Consider the following 14,782-nt stretch of genomic DNA (forward strand, 5'->3'; position numbering starts at 1 on the left):
ATACAGTCATCTCTACTTGCATAACTCTCATTTCACTTTTTTTCTCAGTATATACATCTTTCCATCTATTTATAAACCCTGGGAGGCCAAGGGCCCTTGAATCTTCTGCCGCAGGTTTAACACAAATGCATTTTTATTTGAATTAAAGTAGGTCTTCCTACGAGCAGTTCAAAGTAGAAAGAGGGGATAAGGATGGAAAGTGCCCTTTATGGAACACGTGCTATGTGCTGGGTCCTTCCCTCAGGCCTATTTAAATCCTTATAATCCTAGAAGAAGGTACTGAGTCTTCTTGGAATCCTTCCTCTCCTCCTACACACATCATCCTGAACATGGTCACTGAGCAGCCAGCATCTGCCCACCTTGGCCCTGGCTACATTCATTGCTGGAGTGGGAGTATATTTAACTGTTTCCAAAAGCAGGGAGGTAATTACTTGCTGTATCCAATGAGCTGGAATCACCCGTGCTCTGCTTGTTTCTAATACGCCCATCAACCAAAGCTAAACACACAGGAGACCACCATTAGAAAACGCAGGCTCTTTTTGCATGACTGCCTATTTGAACAAACTCACAAAGGTCTTAAATCCAAGTAAGACCATCTAAGAATGCAAAAGTTTAAAAATGATAGGTGGCAGTTTTGCCAGGATGTACGAAACTGCAGTACTTTTTTTATTTTTAAAGGAAGTCCACTATTCTCCATTTCCCAAAAAGTTCTTTGTTCTTTTGCTCTAACAAAGTAAATTATTCCTCACCTTGGGCAAGTTGGTAGGAACGTGAGAAAATTACATTAAATCAGACATCCTTGAGATCAAAATAGATTGGAACAGGGGTTCTCTTTGTTTAAAATAGATCTTCAAAGAGAAAGCAAAAGAGCTTAAGGGAAGAAAAAGTTGTCAAACAACCTCAAGCACTCTGGAAGCACCTAAGATCTACAAACTATTGATATGTTAATTAAAATTTACTTTTATCTAGTATAGGTGTTTGCTGGTCATGGTCTCATTACCCTGTGGCTCTTTTGGCCCTTGAATAAAATTTCATTTCTTGAAAGACATTAGAAAATGCTTCTTTTTCTCTCTTTCAGATGGTTTCCTCTCCCTTATTGCAATTTAACAAGACTTCACTCTGGCTTAAACCTGGACACCGAATCCCAGAGAGAATACACTATCCATTCACTCCATCCACCAGTAACCTTCTGACCAGATCAAAAACAAGCCATATTGGACAAGATACAGAAAAAGTAGAAAATTTTAATCAGTGAGTAATTAATAACTCTGTATTGACCAGTTGCCAGAGTAGGACTTCTCCGGATTTTAAAATGTCTAGAGAAAGAAAATCCTGTTCAGCGATAACCCTTCTATTTCAATTCTGCAAAGCCCTCACTGCTGAAAATTCCTTCAGGGCCCAATACAAATGTCCATGGGATAGTTTATCTCCTCTGGTTCTATTCCAGAGAAGATGTCCCTTCCAGGTTCTTGAAATTTCTTCCTTAAGTGATCCCTAGTACCGATCCTGATCTTGAACCAGTCAGAAAATAAGGTCATGCAAAATAGTAAACTTAAACCATCAGAAGTCAAATTCAGATTCTTAAGTGTCTAAGGAGTCTTGTGACTTTGCAGTGAGCCAATGATTTTTTTTAATATTAGTTCATGTTTTCTTTTAAAAAGCTGATCCCCTGCACAATGTTACTGCTAACAGAATTTTTACTTTCTTCCGGAACAGAGGTTGGCAAACTGACCTGTGGGCTGAATGCCTGTTTATATAAATAAAACTTTATTGGAAACACAGCTATACCGATTTGTTGACATATTATCTATGGCTGCTTTCTTCTTACAGCAGCAGGCAGAGTTGAGTAGTTGTAAGAAAGACCACATTGCCTGCAAATCCTAAAACATTTACTGTATGGCCATTTACGGAAACGTCTGTAGACCTTTGCTACTACTAAACCATTACCACTAAAATGCACAGTATCAAAATTACTACTCTAAGGTTTGAGGAAAACATGCTGGCTATCTTAAAACCTAAAGCCAATTTTTATTGTATGATTAATTCAACAGTGGTCATTCTGGAGACCTTCAAAGAACGATAATCACCTTTTATGATCTAATTTGCCATCACCATCTACAAACCCTGTTTTGCTATCTCATTTGACACACCCTACCAAAAAATTAGGAATGTGCCAATACTGTCTGTAAAAAGCACTAACCAGCAGCACCATATGATGATAACAGGTCAGGCACCGTGGCTCACACCTGTAATCCCAGCGCTTTGGGAGGCCAAGGCAGGCAGATCATGAGGTCAGGAGACTGAGACTTCCTGGCCAACATGGTAAAACTCTGTCTCTACTAAAAGTGCAAAAATTAACTGGGTGTGGTGGTGCACGCCTGTAATCCCATCTACTTGGGAGGCTGAGGCACGAGAATAGCTTGAACCCAGGAGGCAGAGGTTGCAGTGAGCCTAGATCGCGCCACTACACTCCAGCCTGGTGACAGAGCAAGACTTCCTCTCAAAAAAATAAATAATATTAACCAGTACCATAAGCACTGTGCTAAGCATGTTACGTGTATTGTCATGTGAGCAAGATGTAAGATACACAAGGGTAGGGTTTTGTCTGTTTGGTTTACTATTGAGTCCTTGGAACTTAGAACAGTGGCTAGCACATTGTAGCCACTCAACAAAAATTTGATAAATGAATGAAAGTTCTCCCATAAAGGCCACGGGATTTATCCTGGTACTGGCAAAGTGACACGCAGAGATTTGAAACCAGGTGGTTTCAGTCAACACCTCACTGCCTCTGTTATCACATGGTTCAGCCAGCACACCCTCATCCAGCCCATCTTGTTTTCAATTAAATAAACACCCTTTGGCAATGGAATAACTAAATCTAACCTGATTAAATAGTAAGCATTTATTGGGAGTTGATTTACTTAGCACTGTATTAGAAACTACAAACCTAAAAAGAAATCTAAGATGCTTTTGCCTGTGGCACATGCAGAATAGTACGCTTGTTAAAAGCATGCGCTCTGAAACACTGCCTAATGTTCACATCCTAACTCCATTATTTCCTTGCTATGTTACCTTGGCAAGTTATTTACCTTCCCAGTGCCTCAGTTTCCCCATCTGTAAATGGGTGTGATTATAGTATCTGAGAGCTTGATCCACAATAACAGTGCCTATGGCATTCTAAGTACTAATATGTACCTGTGAGTGATTTGTTATTACAGTCATGTGTCCCATAAAGACATTTTGGTCAATAAGGGACCAAATATGACAGCGGTCCCACAGGATTATAATGAAACTAACAAATTCCTATTGCCTAGTGATGTAGCCATCAAAATGTCTTATGGCAATGAGTTAATCACACATTTGTGGTGATGCTGGTGTAAACAAACCTACTGCACTGCCAGTTGTATAAGAGTACACACAGACTGGCCAGGCATGGTGGCTCACGCCTGTAATCCCACCACTTTGGGAGGCCAAGGTGGGCGGATCACGAGGTCAAGAGATCATGACCATCCTGGCCAACATGGTGAAACCCACCTCTACTAAAAATACAAAAATTAGCGGGGCATGGTGGTGCACACCTGTAGTCCCAGATACTAGGGAGGCTGAGGTGGAGAATCACTTGAACCCAGGAGACAGAGGTTGCAGTGAGCTGAGATCACACCTCTATACTCCAGCCTGGCAACAGAGCGAGACTCAGTCTCAAAAAAAAAAAAAAGTACACACAGAATTATGTACAGCATATAATACATGGTAATGATAATAAATGACCATGTTACTGGTTTGTGTATTTATTATAATATGCTTCATATTGTCATTTTAGAGTGTACTCTTATTTTTTTTAAATGATAACTATAAAACAGCCTCAGGCAGGTCCTTCCAGAGATATTCCAGAAGGAGGCATTGCTGTTATAGGCGAGGACAGCTCAATGCCTGTTATTGCCCTTGAAGACCTGCCAGGGGGACAAGATGTGGGTGTGGAAGAGAGTGATACTGATGATCCTGATGGTCATAGAGTCATCCATAAGCCCTAGAACTCTCTTCCACTACTTCCTCTGGTAAATTTCTACTCATCCTTCTTGTTGGACCTTAAATGTCACTTCCCTGCACTAACCTTCCCTGAGCTCCTTGTCGTCCAACTGGATCAGTATTCACAACGCAATCCTCATACACCGCACGCCCTGCACTTCTCTCCCCATGGATATGGCGCTCCTGGACTTGTGCAATAACTGTCAGCTACATGTGTGGAGTTGTTTGTTTCCTTGTGTCTTGTTTCCTTCTGTATTCCTGCTCCACACATAGGAGACTTCCACAAATGTTCCTGGCCTGAATGACTGTGCAGTGTAGACCTCCCCCAAAAAAGGAGAGATTGTTGTGAGTTTGAAAGTCTGCAGAAAAGTGAGACCAGAGATAGTGAGACAATAAAATGAAGGAGGCTGAATGGTTTGCAGGTCTCGATTTGATTTTATTTTCTCTTTTTAAGGTGAAGGAACAATAGCAGTATGTGATTTCCAGAGAAGAATGTGTATAGCTTACCCTCAAATCTCAAAACCTCCGTTAAGTAGTTCTAGAGGAGGTAGGGCTGGGTTTTGTCTTCTGTTGAGACAGATGCAGTGATTATTGGAAGGCATGCTTACTGGTGCACTGGTTCCTTTACCACAAGTCTGGGAATTACCACTGTATTCCCCAAGGAGGAAGAAAACCTGGGTAGGGAGATTTTCTTTTCAAATAACATTGATTTGGTGACTGATGGCAACACTACAAAATAAACTTTTACTTTTGTTAATTCAATACGGCTCTTGAGTGGTAACTGTTCAAGTTTATATACATATAAGTATATAATATCTTTCTTCTGCTCTCTAATTTGCAATTATTCAATTCAGAAATCCTGATTCTTACTAAAGCATAAGGTATGGGTTCTCTTAAGATTCTCACCTATCTTATTTCTGAAGATATTACCAAGTATGCCCTTATTTTTGTGAAAGTATAAACCTTATCTCCATTTAGCTATCACAGACGGAAAATAAAAATGTTTTAAAAACTAAGGAAAAAGAATTGGTCTTAATATGCAATGCAAATGAGTGAATTTTATAAAAGGCAAAGATAAAAAAATTATAATCCCTTTGGCATGCTATTCATTAAGAAAATTCTTCCTAAGGACTATGAGTTTTAAATATGCTCAGCAAGTCAATCATCTATTCATTCATTCAATATTTATTGTGCTTTCATTTATTCACTCATTCATTCAATTCAACTAATTTATCGAGCAACCCTGTGTATAAGCCTCCTGCCAGGTGTGGGAGGTTGGGTTCACTGAATTAGACAGTACCTGAGTAACTGTGCCAGTGCAGATGGGAATAACGTAAACTCCACACTATTCAAAGTGTGCTCCACGAACTGCTGCCGGTCCTCAAATTGGTCATTGTTGGTCTGGGGCAAGAGAAGTACAGAAACTGAGAGTAAGCCTTTTAAACCTTGCCCATATATGTGATTGTGTAATTTTGTGTCTGTTAACTCTAATAATAAAAAATGGAGCTTGCATTTTTAACTGCCTTTTTCTTTTACATTGTACTTTATACAAGTATTGATCCGTCATGGACTGGGGGGCATGGGGCCAGTTCTTGACCACAGAAAGTCTGAGAAGCCTTGCTCCAGGAAAGGAAAGTAGCACAGTGCCAGGAAAGAGGGAGAGTAGGAGAGTGTGCGCGTTTCCAGCCTGGGAAAGGGAAGCGGAAAGCAATCTGAAAAGCCTCCCCCAGGGGGAGTGGCATTTGAGCAAAGCCTAACAGGATGGGGACGGTTTGGAGGCAAAGACAGGAGAAAGGACGTTTTGAGGCAAAGAGAAAGGTTGAGGCCAGGAAGTAAAGGGTTTATGCAGGGTGCCACGCGTATTTAACGCTCTGTGAAGCACAGAGCAGGTGAGTAATAACGATAATAATAGCAGCTAACATTTATTGAACACTTACCGCAAGCCAGGCTCTGTGCTAAGAACATGGTGGGAATTATCTCATTTGTTCCTTCCAACTACCTGCAGGGACACTGATTTGTGAAAATCGTTCCCAGACAGACGAAGGATATTAAATAGGAGGTGAGAGTGCCCCTCGGGGCAATGGGCTTCAAGAGCACAGGCAGACGGGAGTCAGATGCCGTTCAGGGACAGCTGGGCACCAACTCTATTGTCTGTCTCCTCCTAGACGAGGATGTTGCCTTACTGGGCCTGAGTCAGGCTTGTCAATGTCCTCTTTAAGTGGTGGGCATAATATTGTCCTGCAAGTTCTTTTGGAATGGTGATGTGAGCCCAAGGACGAGAATGAATGGGCAGGTAAACAGAAAGCATTGGCTTGCCAGGTCTAGCACAGCCCAGCCTTGCTGCAGACCTTCTTCACAACCCTGGGGACAGCTCTGCTGGGCTGTGCTGCATCTGGCTCCTGCTATGGGTTGCCCCCTGGAATAGGTAAGATTTTGTGCCTCTGGCTCATTAAATGCAGACCTTAATCTAACCTTACAAGGTAAGTGTTCTGCTCTTTCTAGTTAGTACAGAAATGCTGCATTTGCTTTTAAGTAAGTGAGAAGTGATTTGTAAAGATGTTTCGAACTCAGGACTAACTGCCTCCAGAGATGCAGGAAGTAAGACCAGAACAGTAGGTGGGGGCCAAGACATAGATGGAGGCCCTGATTCCCAGGCTTAGGACCTGAACTTTGATTCTGAGGACAGCAGGGAACATAAAAATCATATGGGAGCTTCTTTACCTCCACAAAGAACATTCTTTGGCTCAGCAGGACAATATGGTGGGAAATGACAAAGTAACTCCTGTGGCCCTAGGTCAGGTTCTCTTGAGGAAAACAAAAAGGCTGGAATGATACAGCTCTTCGTAAACCAGGTGCCTCCAGTGCCTGCGGTTATTCCCAAGTCCACATTTTGCAGACAGGGCCCTAAAATGTCTAGCTAGGAAGTTCCTGAGCCTGTTTTTTTAAAATTCTACACACACACATGCACACACACACGCACGTGTGCACACATGCGGATATATACATCCTCACCTTTTCTTGAGATTACTGCTCAGAAGAAGGCACATTTGGTTTGGTCTGCTTACCAGTTTGTGAAGCACTTCAGCACCTTTTAAGATGTCAAGTGCCATAAAATCAACGTCCTTGTTATCGTGGTAAATTGACCTTCGTTGCCAAGGCAAAGTCAGAGACAGAGTTAACCATGACAGCCACGAATAGCTGTTCTTTGAGGGCCAAAATCATGATTTTCAATGTTTTTCCATCTGAAATAGGGGAACATTACTCACTACAGCCTATAACTGTTTCCTGTCCCATGAAGCTAAATTCCTACGCCAGCAATATGGTCTCAACAGAAGCCCTGAAAACAGAAATGTCACTCCGCAAAGTTCTTATTTCAGCCAACAAAGCTTTAAGTTTAGACTTAACTGTGAAACTGAAAATTTGGCTCACCACAGAGGGAACTGGAGAGACTTTTTTTTTAAACACCAGGAGACTGATGTCACTGCTTTGCCTATCCAATGTCATCTCATCCCTCTCCCCCAAACCCAAGCAAACTCTGCAGTGAGTGACAAACGGCTGAAATTTCAGCTTTACCCCTCAGCTAGCAGGCACTTCCAAACTCATTTAATGCTCAGGTAAGTTTTAGCTTTAAAAAACTTGGTGGGGAAAAAGACCAGGTAATTTATCCCCTATTCCATGAAAAACAGGGGAGTGGGGACCTATGTTAATATGATCTTTAGCAGAAAAATGCAGTGTTGTTAGGCCTGGTTTCTCATACAGATTTGTTTACTGTATCCATATTTACTAAAATGTTTGTTGCTGTGACTGCAAGAAATCAGGGATTAATATTTACCTCTGTTACATGAAAGAACTTACTGTCCCTTTTCTGCAAGTATTTGGAGTCAGAGATTCCTTAAGTAAAAATGCTATAGGCCAATGCTAAACCTGAAAAATGGCTTAGCAAGATGCTGAGTTCTAACCCACTCTGATGAAATTGGTTATATAATTGGCCTTGCATCACGGATGGTTATCCCTATACTTTGTTCTTGTCATTTCAATCAGCCCAAGCAAGTGCACTCCTTCTGATTTAGAGACCCAACCGATATTTGCCCACACAGACATGGTCAGGACAACCCCCAGGGCCTTCGTATGTTGGCTCTTGGCCCAGACGGTATAAGAGTCCATTTACGACATCAAAATATTATGTAAACTCCCTCATCATTAGAGTTATGCTTTTAACCTATTCATTTAAAACGCTGACTAGTTATTTAGCAGTGCTTTAAAAAATATTTCTAAATCCCAGAAGCAACTACATTTATGTGAAAGATAGAGCAGAACATGTTGCGTGTACAGTAGGCACTATTTGGTGGCAGGAGTCTGTGGCTTCCTCTACCCCCAGTGAAGCCTAGAGGACTGCAGGGATCCAGCACCCACGGGTTTAGAGTCTTGGGTCTGGTCCAGTGAAGACACTGCTCTCTTTCATATCTCCAGAGTCCACCAGGGAGCTGGCTTTCGCATCCTTTAATTTGGCTGCCTTTACTGGGAGGTGCTTCACCATGAAGGCTTGGTAATGGATATTCCAAAAAAAAAAAAATGTAAATAGGAGCCACATTCAAGAGCACCATTTAAAATGAAAACCCACATGAGGTCTCCCAGCAAACCACTAACTTTAAAGGGAGCCTGGCTGACTAAGAAGACAGGACACTGGATCCTGGACATGCTGCACCACACAGCCTGCCGGCCACAGCCCTGCTTCTTCTGACCATGGAATTTCCAAAACAGACTCCCTCAAGGAAAGCCAAGAGCACATTTTTGTGGCATTAGAGTGAAGTGAGGTTTCTCTTTATTAGAGAGAGATGGCATTGGAAATAGGCTCATTTTCCCTCATAAGGTACCAGTCTCCAAAAGACTGCCTTCCCGGAGAAGTACCCTGGGAAGGAAAATGCCTCAGTTACGGTACCACATGGTTTGGGGGACTCAAGCTGTCTCCAAAAAGCCCTGAGAAGGAAGGATCCATTTCAGCATCACAATTTTTCTGAACCAAGCGGGGATCAACAATGTGGGCACCAGAACTAAATGATCCAGTAATTATTCTACAAGGAGGTCCCAAAGGGCCCAAAAGCCATGATGTAATGAACAAGAGGAGGCTCAGCTCCAGAGGGCTTCCTTTAGGAGGTGAGTCATGAGCTGTGTTTCGCACTGGCAGAGAGGAAAGCTACGTGGGTAGGGCAGAAAAAAGTGAGCTGTGTCTAGGGGACAAGATGAATTGGATAGGTGACTCAGTGTCAAAGATCCACCATTAGTGAAACACTGTAGACCAGGCAATGTAAAGGTGTCCCATAGGAACCCACTGTTGATCCTTCAGCACTTAAAAAAACAAACAAACAAACAAAAAACACCACTGTTCTTGACGCAGGATGAACCATTTTAGCAGTGAGGGGCAAGATGAATTGGGACAGCAGGGAGACTAGCTATGAAAATGGAGTAATCATTCAGGTGTGGTACAGATGGCATTGGAATGAAGACGGTGAATATAGGAATGCAAATTAGTAAATTAGGCTCAACCAAGAGATGACTCCTGAGCAAATTATCAGACCTACTGCCCAACCGTCAGCCCAGTTTTAGGATTTTAGGGTTTTAGACAAAACAGTATAGGGCTTGGCTATGTATACCACTGGCCTACAGTACAACCTATTGCTACCCTACAAATAAGAGAACAGCAGTTAAAGACCCCCACATTTCCTCTTCCCCTAAGCACCTCACAACATATTCACCTATCACCGGATACCCCATTCCTGGACCAAGCGGCCATTCCTTTGAGGTGACTGATTCAACAAGGTAGTGAAATAAAGAACTTACCCAGATGATTACAAATGCCATTGAAATGTGACACTTTCAAATTGGAGAGGGCATGAAGCTCAAATGATATGCTCATTTTACGGAGGAAGAAGCAAAGACTGAAAACATTGACGAGCTTTCCTCAGGCTCTGAGAGAGGTGAACTGGGTGCTGGGTGAGTTCTGTTCCTGGCTCTACCCCTGAAATACTGGAAGAAGCTGAGAGAATTTTTTTTTCTTTTTTCTGAGCCTCAGATTCCACATTTGTAAATAGAAAAAATATAACTAAATGGCTCCTAGGTCCCTGCTAGCGCTAACTTCTCGTGTGATCAGTGCTTCTAAAATTGCAATGTGTCCAGGTGGGGAAGTTCATTTACCCCCTATCTGGTTTACGCTCACTTAAGGGAGTGATTTCTTTCCTCTGAGGCTCTCATCTTGCCCATTATTCAGAGTGAGCTGCCTCCTGGTGTGCTGTCAAAATACATCAGCTTCAAAGACAAACACACACCTTTCAATCCCAGTCCAAGAGAGTTTACTGTATAATTTATGATAATGTTAAGTCTGTTTCTCATAAATGTTAATGGTGCTACATTTTTTTTCATAGATGGGTAATTCTCAGAAAAGCAGCTGGATGTTAAAAGTTACTTTTTTTTTTTTTTTTAACATAAACTGCCTCAGCCAACAAATCTGATTAAAACAAAACTCTCCAGGATTGCAAGGCACAAAGATTCTGCTAATGTTAGTAAGTAAATCCAAAAAAAAATCATTCAAAGATTCTGTTCTTATAATTGTTTATCTACCATGATTTGATTAAGTTCACATTCACAGACTTTTCTCCATTTTAATGTGTAGATATTAAGAACTTTTTACTTTAATCCAATTCTTTCCACTCCTACAAATTGCTGAACTTGTACATTAGTATTAATATAACATGCCTAAGTACCTCCCAAAGTAAATTCTTTCCTGCTAAAAATATTTTGCTAGCAAATATTCGGCCTTTTCTCATTTATAGAAACTGTAACCTTTACTTCGAAGTGCCATGCTTCATCTTTTATACTCTATAGAATTGTTTTGACTGCTAAATGTGTTTGAGGAATTCTCTCCCAGACGTTAGAAAGTTGGATTTTGAAATCATTTGAATCTTTCAAAGTTATTCCCTGACGAAAGAAAATGCATCAATAATTTCAGATTAGTTACTGTACTGGAGCTTCTGAAATTCCAAATTTTCTATTTTGAAGCATCAATTTGTAGAAGAATGTAAGTATTCTTAATTTTTGATGCTGTAAAATGCAATAACGATAGACATATTTTAACACAGAAAGATAAAGACTTCAAAAGTACATAAACAGCCAGAAAAACATACAAAAGAATTAGCTTAAACACCTTCAAATTGCTTGGGCTCAAGATACCTGGGTTCTAATCCCTCCTCCACTTGATAACTCTGCAACCTCATTCATTGACTCATACATTTATTCAACAAAGGCGTATTCGGTTTGACACCAAGGTACTGTGCTGGGCATTAGTTACAGAGAAATGCTAGATATGGTCTCTATCCTCAAAGAGCCCATAGTGTAGGGGAAGAAACAGCCATGCAAACAGATATTCCTACAGTGTGGTGGGAACATTAATACAGATATACAGAGAGTATTGGAAAGGAAAGAGGGTAGGGGTGGGGGAATGTCAGGGTTTCAAGTTTTCTTAAGGAAGGTGATTCCTCAACTGAGCCTTCAGGCCTGCCCTGTCTCTCGGCTTGACAGGGCGCTTGTGAGGCTCTCGTAAGATAAAGCCCGGTAAAGGCCCTGTGAACTAAAGCACAAAAGAGCTGTACTGGGATTATTTTCCATGGTGAGAAATAGAAAAGCTACAGCATAATGAGTGAGTTCTTTTGCATCTCTGGTTATTAAGGAAAACAACCAAACATGATTTGGAAGAGGGTTTTAAAAAATTCAGTTTCAGCAGATTTTCTCACTCTTATTTGTATGTATAGAGGACTTAAAATGAAAGGACTATATATCTCCATTTCACAGATCAGGTCATTTAGGCACGGGGCCCCGAGAGTTAAGAAAGATGGCTAGGGGAAAGAGAAAAAAAAGTCTCAGCCAGAGGTGAGAGAGAGCAGCTCAGGAACCTGGAGCCGGACGGCAATGGTGGGGGATCGCGTTTTCCTTCTGTGACACTCTCCTCAAGGGTGACGCTACCCCTGCCAAATAGGGAGGAGGAATGATTTTTTTTTTCCTTCATAAAAACAAGTCAGAAAGGAAATAAAATCCACATTTAAAACTCCCAACTGTTTTTTGAAACGAGTATTTTCTTCATTTCTTTTCCAAGGCAGACAGAGCAGGTGTTAAGGCTGAGTTCCTCTTGTCATGTGAAACAAAGATGGCCCTGACTACCATGTACTGGGCGACCTATAATACTGACATCAAGCGCAAAAAGGAAACAAAAAGAAAATAAAAAAGGAATGCGTGAGGGTCGGAGTTTTTGGAAGATGAACATGAGATGACAGCATGAGCTGGGTGTTGAAGTCGGGAAGATGCAGTTAACAGAAGGGGGGGGGGGGCGCCATGGAGCAGTCGTGTGAGCCAAGGTGCAGGAACAAGCACTCAGCTTATCCAGAGGGAGGACCGCTTCCCAGAGATATTTTCAGGGGCAACTTTCGCTTTTTTGGTTTGTTTCGTTTCTTGAGGCAGGGTCTCGCTTTGTCACCCAGGCTGGAGTACAGTGGTGCAATCTTGGCTCACTGCAACCTCCACTTCTGGGCTCAAGCAATTCTCCCACATCAGCCTCCTGAGTAGCTGGGATCACAGGCATGTACCACCGTGCCTGCCTAAGGTTTTAAATTTTTTTTTGTATATGTATATATATATATATATACACACACTATATATATATATATACACACACACAAATATATATATACACACAAATATATATATATACATTTTATTTTTTCCCCCCAGAGACAGGGTTTTGTCATGTTGCCTAGGCTGGTCTGGAACACCTGTACTCAAGCCACCTGCCTGTCATGGCCCCCCAAAATGCTGGGATTGCAGGCCACCATAACCGGTCATCGGGGCAACTATCCTTCAGGGCTTCCTCCAGTAGGGCTCCCCAGGTTGGCCTTGAGGGCCACAATAAAAAATCTGACTTAGCTATACTCCTTCCCTGTCCCCAACCACAGTTATTCTTGTGGATGAGGCAAATGGCAGCAGGACAGCTGGAGTATACCAGAGTTGACTCATTTATTTTATGCATGCTTAGTGTGGCATCCCTGGGGACATGAAATTCCAGTGAAATCCAGTCTTTGTGCTGGAGAAGCTCATAGATCTGTGGAGGAGGCAGATGCCCACCCACTCACTGTACAGTACAAGGGGTTGAGGGCAACAAAAGAGAAGTGTGCAAATGCTAGTGGCAACAGGTGAGGCGGGGAGGAGTTTTGTGAAACAGAGATGATGGTAAAGGAGAACATGAGTGCACAGGGATAAAAACACACAGTACGTTTTGAAGACAAAAGAAAAGCCAGTGTCAGATCTAATGTGGATGACCGTCTGCTTGGGCTGTGGTTCTCAGCCCTGGCTGCCCATTAGAATCATCTGGAGAGTAAATACAGATGCCACATGTCCTATATTTTGATATGGGTGGTGGCTAGACAGATGTATTTCTATGTAAAAATTTATTAGGCCATATACTTAAGATTTGCATCCTTTACTGGCTTAAATCACACCTCAATGAAATTAAAATACTAATCCTTATGCTTCAACCCAGACCAATCAAATCAGAATCTGATATGCAAGCAGAGCTGAAGACCATTGTTCCAAAGGTCTGATATGCAAGCAGAGCTGAAGACCATTGTTCCAAAGGAGGAATTTTAAAAAAACATACCTGGCTGGGCACGGTGGCTCACGCCTGTAATCCCAGCACTTTGGGAGGCCGAGGCGGGCGGATCACAACTTCAGGAGATCGAGACCACCCTGGCTAACACGATGAAACCCCGTCTCTACTAAAAATGCAAAAAAAATTAGCCAGGTGTGGTGGCAGGTACCTGTAGTCCCAGCTACTCGGGAGGCTGAGGCAGGAGAACGGCGTTAACCCGGGAGGCGGAGCTTGCAGTGAGCCCAGATTGCACCACTGCACTCCAACCTGAGTGATAGAGCAAGACTCTGTCTCAAAAAAAAAAAAAAAAAAACATACCCTACTTCAAAGGACACATATTTTTAAACATGAATCAAAGCCTTAGATTCCACTATATACTACGGAGAAATTAACAAAAACAACTAAAATTTATTGAGGTTAAAAATCAAGCCTTATTTCTTTTTTTATTATTTTTTTTTTGAGATCGAGTCTCGCTTTGTCTCCCAGGATGGAGTGCAGTGGTGTGATCTCGGCTCACTGCAACCTCCGCCTCCCAGGTTCAAGCGATTCTCCTGTCTCAGCTTCCCCAGTAGCTGGGATTACAGGCGCCTGCCACCACACCCGGCTAATTTTTTTGTATTTTTGGTAGAGACGGGGTTTCACCATGTTGGCCAGGCTGGTCTCAAACTCCTGACCTCAGGTGAACCACCCGCCTCAGCCTCCCAAAGTGCTGGGGTTACAGACGTGGGCCACCATGCCCAGCCAATTAAGCCTTACTTCTGATCCTTACCACCACTCCATAACGCAGACTAAGTTATAGCAATACTATTTTACAGATGAGGACATTAAGGCTCAGAGAGGTCACTGTCTTGCTCAACGGCACAGAGCTAGCAGGAAGTGGAACTGGGTGGCTGTCTGCAGTGGAGGGATGCATATGTCTCCGAAGAGATCCAAGTATCTTTCCTTAAGGGAATTACTAAATATCATCAAATGACTTTTGTAGCCCACCACCATATCTAACTCAAGCTCTAACAACTTCTTTAAAAAGAAGCTTTTGCTGCTACAGAAAGAATTTCTGCAAAGCAGGAA

General features: G+C 42.1%; 1 protein-coding gene and 1 long non-coding RNA gene across 13 annotated transcripts in view; both read right to left on the bottom strand.

The window, feature by feature from the left end:
* The window catches only part of RORA (RAR related orphan receptor A), a 741,019-nt gene that overhangs the window by 618,409 nt on the left and 107,828 nt on the right, over positions 1 to 14,782 (bottom strand). The window lies entirely within an intron of this gene.
* LOC107984805 (uncharacterized) overlaps positions 1 to 14,782 on the bottom strand; it is a 129,290-nt gene that overhangs the window by 100,405 nt on the left and 14,103 nt on the right. For 10 of the 11 annotated variants that reach the window (XR_007064660.1, XR_007064657.1, XR_002957761.2 and 7 more), the window contains exon 1: positions 1 to 14,782. This exon is cut by the window's left edge and continues 12,337 nt beyond it; it is cut by the window's right edge and continues 14,103 nt beyond it. This is a non-coding gene — a long non-coding RNA (uncharacterized LOC107984805). The other variant, XR_007064659.1, reaches the window with a different exon arrangement.

This window comes from Homo sapiens, chromosome 15 (genome assembly GCF_000001405.40).
Source record: "Homo sapiens chromosome 15, GRCh38.p14 Primary Assembly".
NCBI classification, from domain to species: domain Eukaryota; kingdom Metazoa; phylum Chordata; class Mammalia; order Primates; family Hominidae; genus Homo; species Homo sapiens.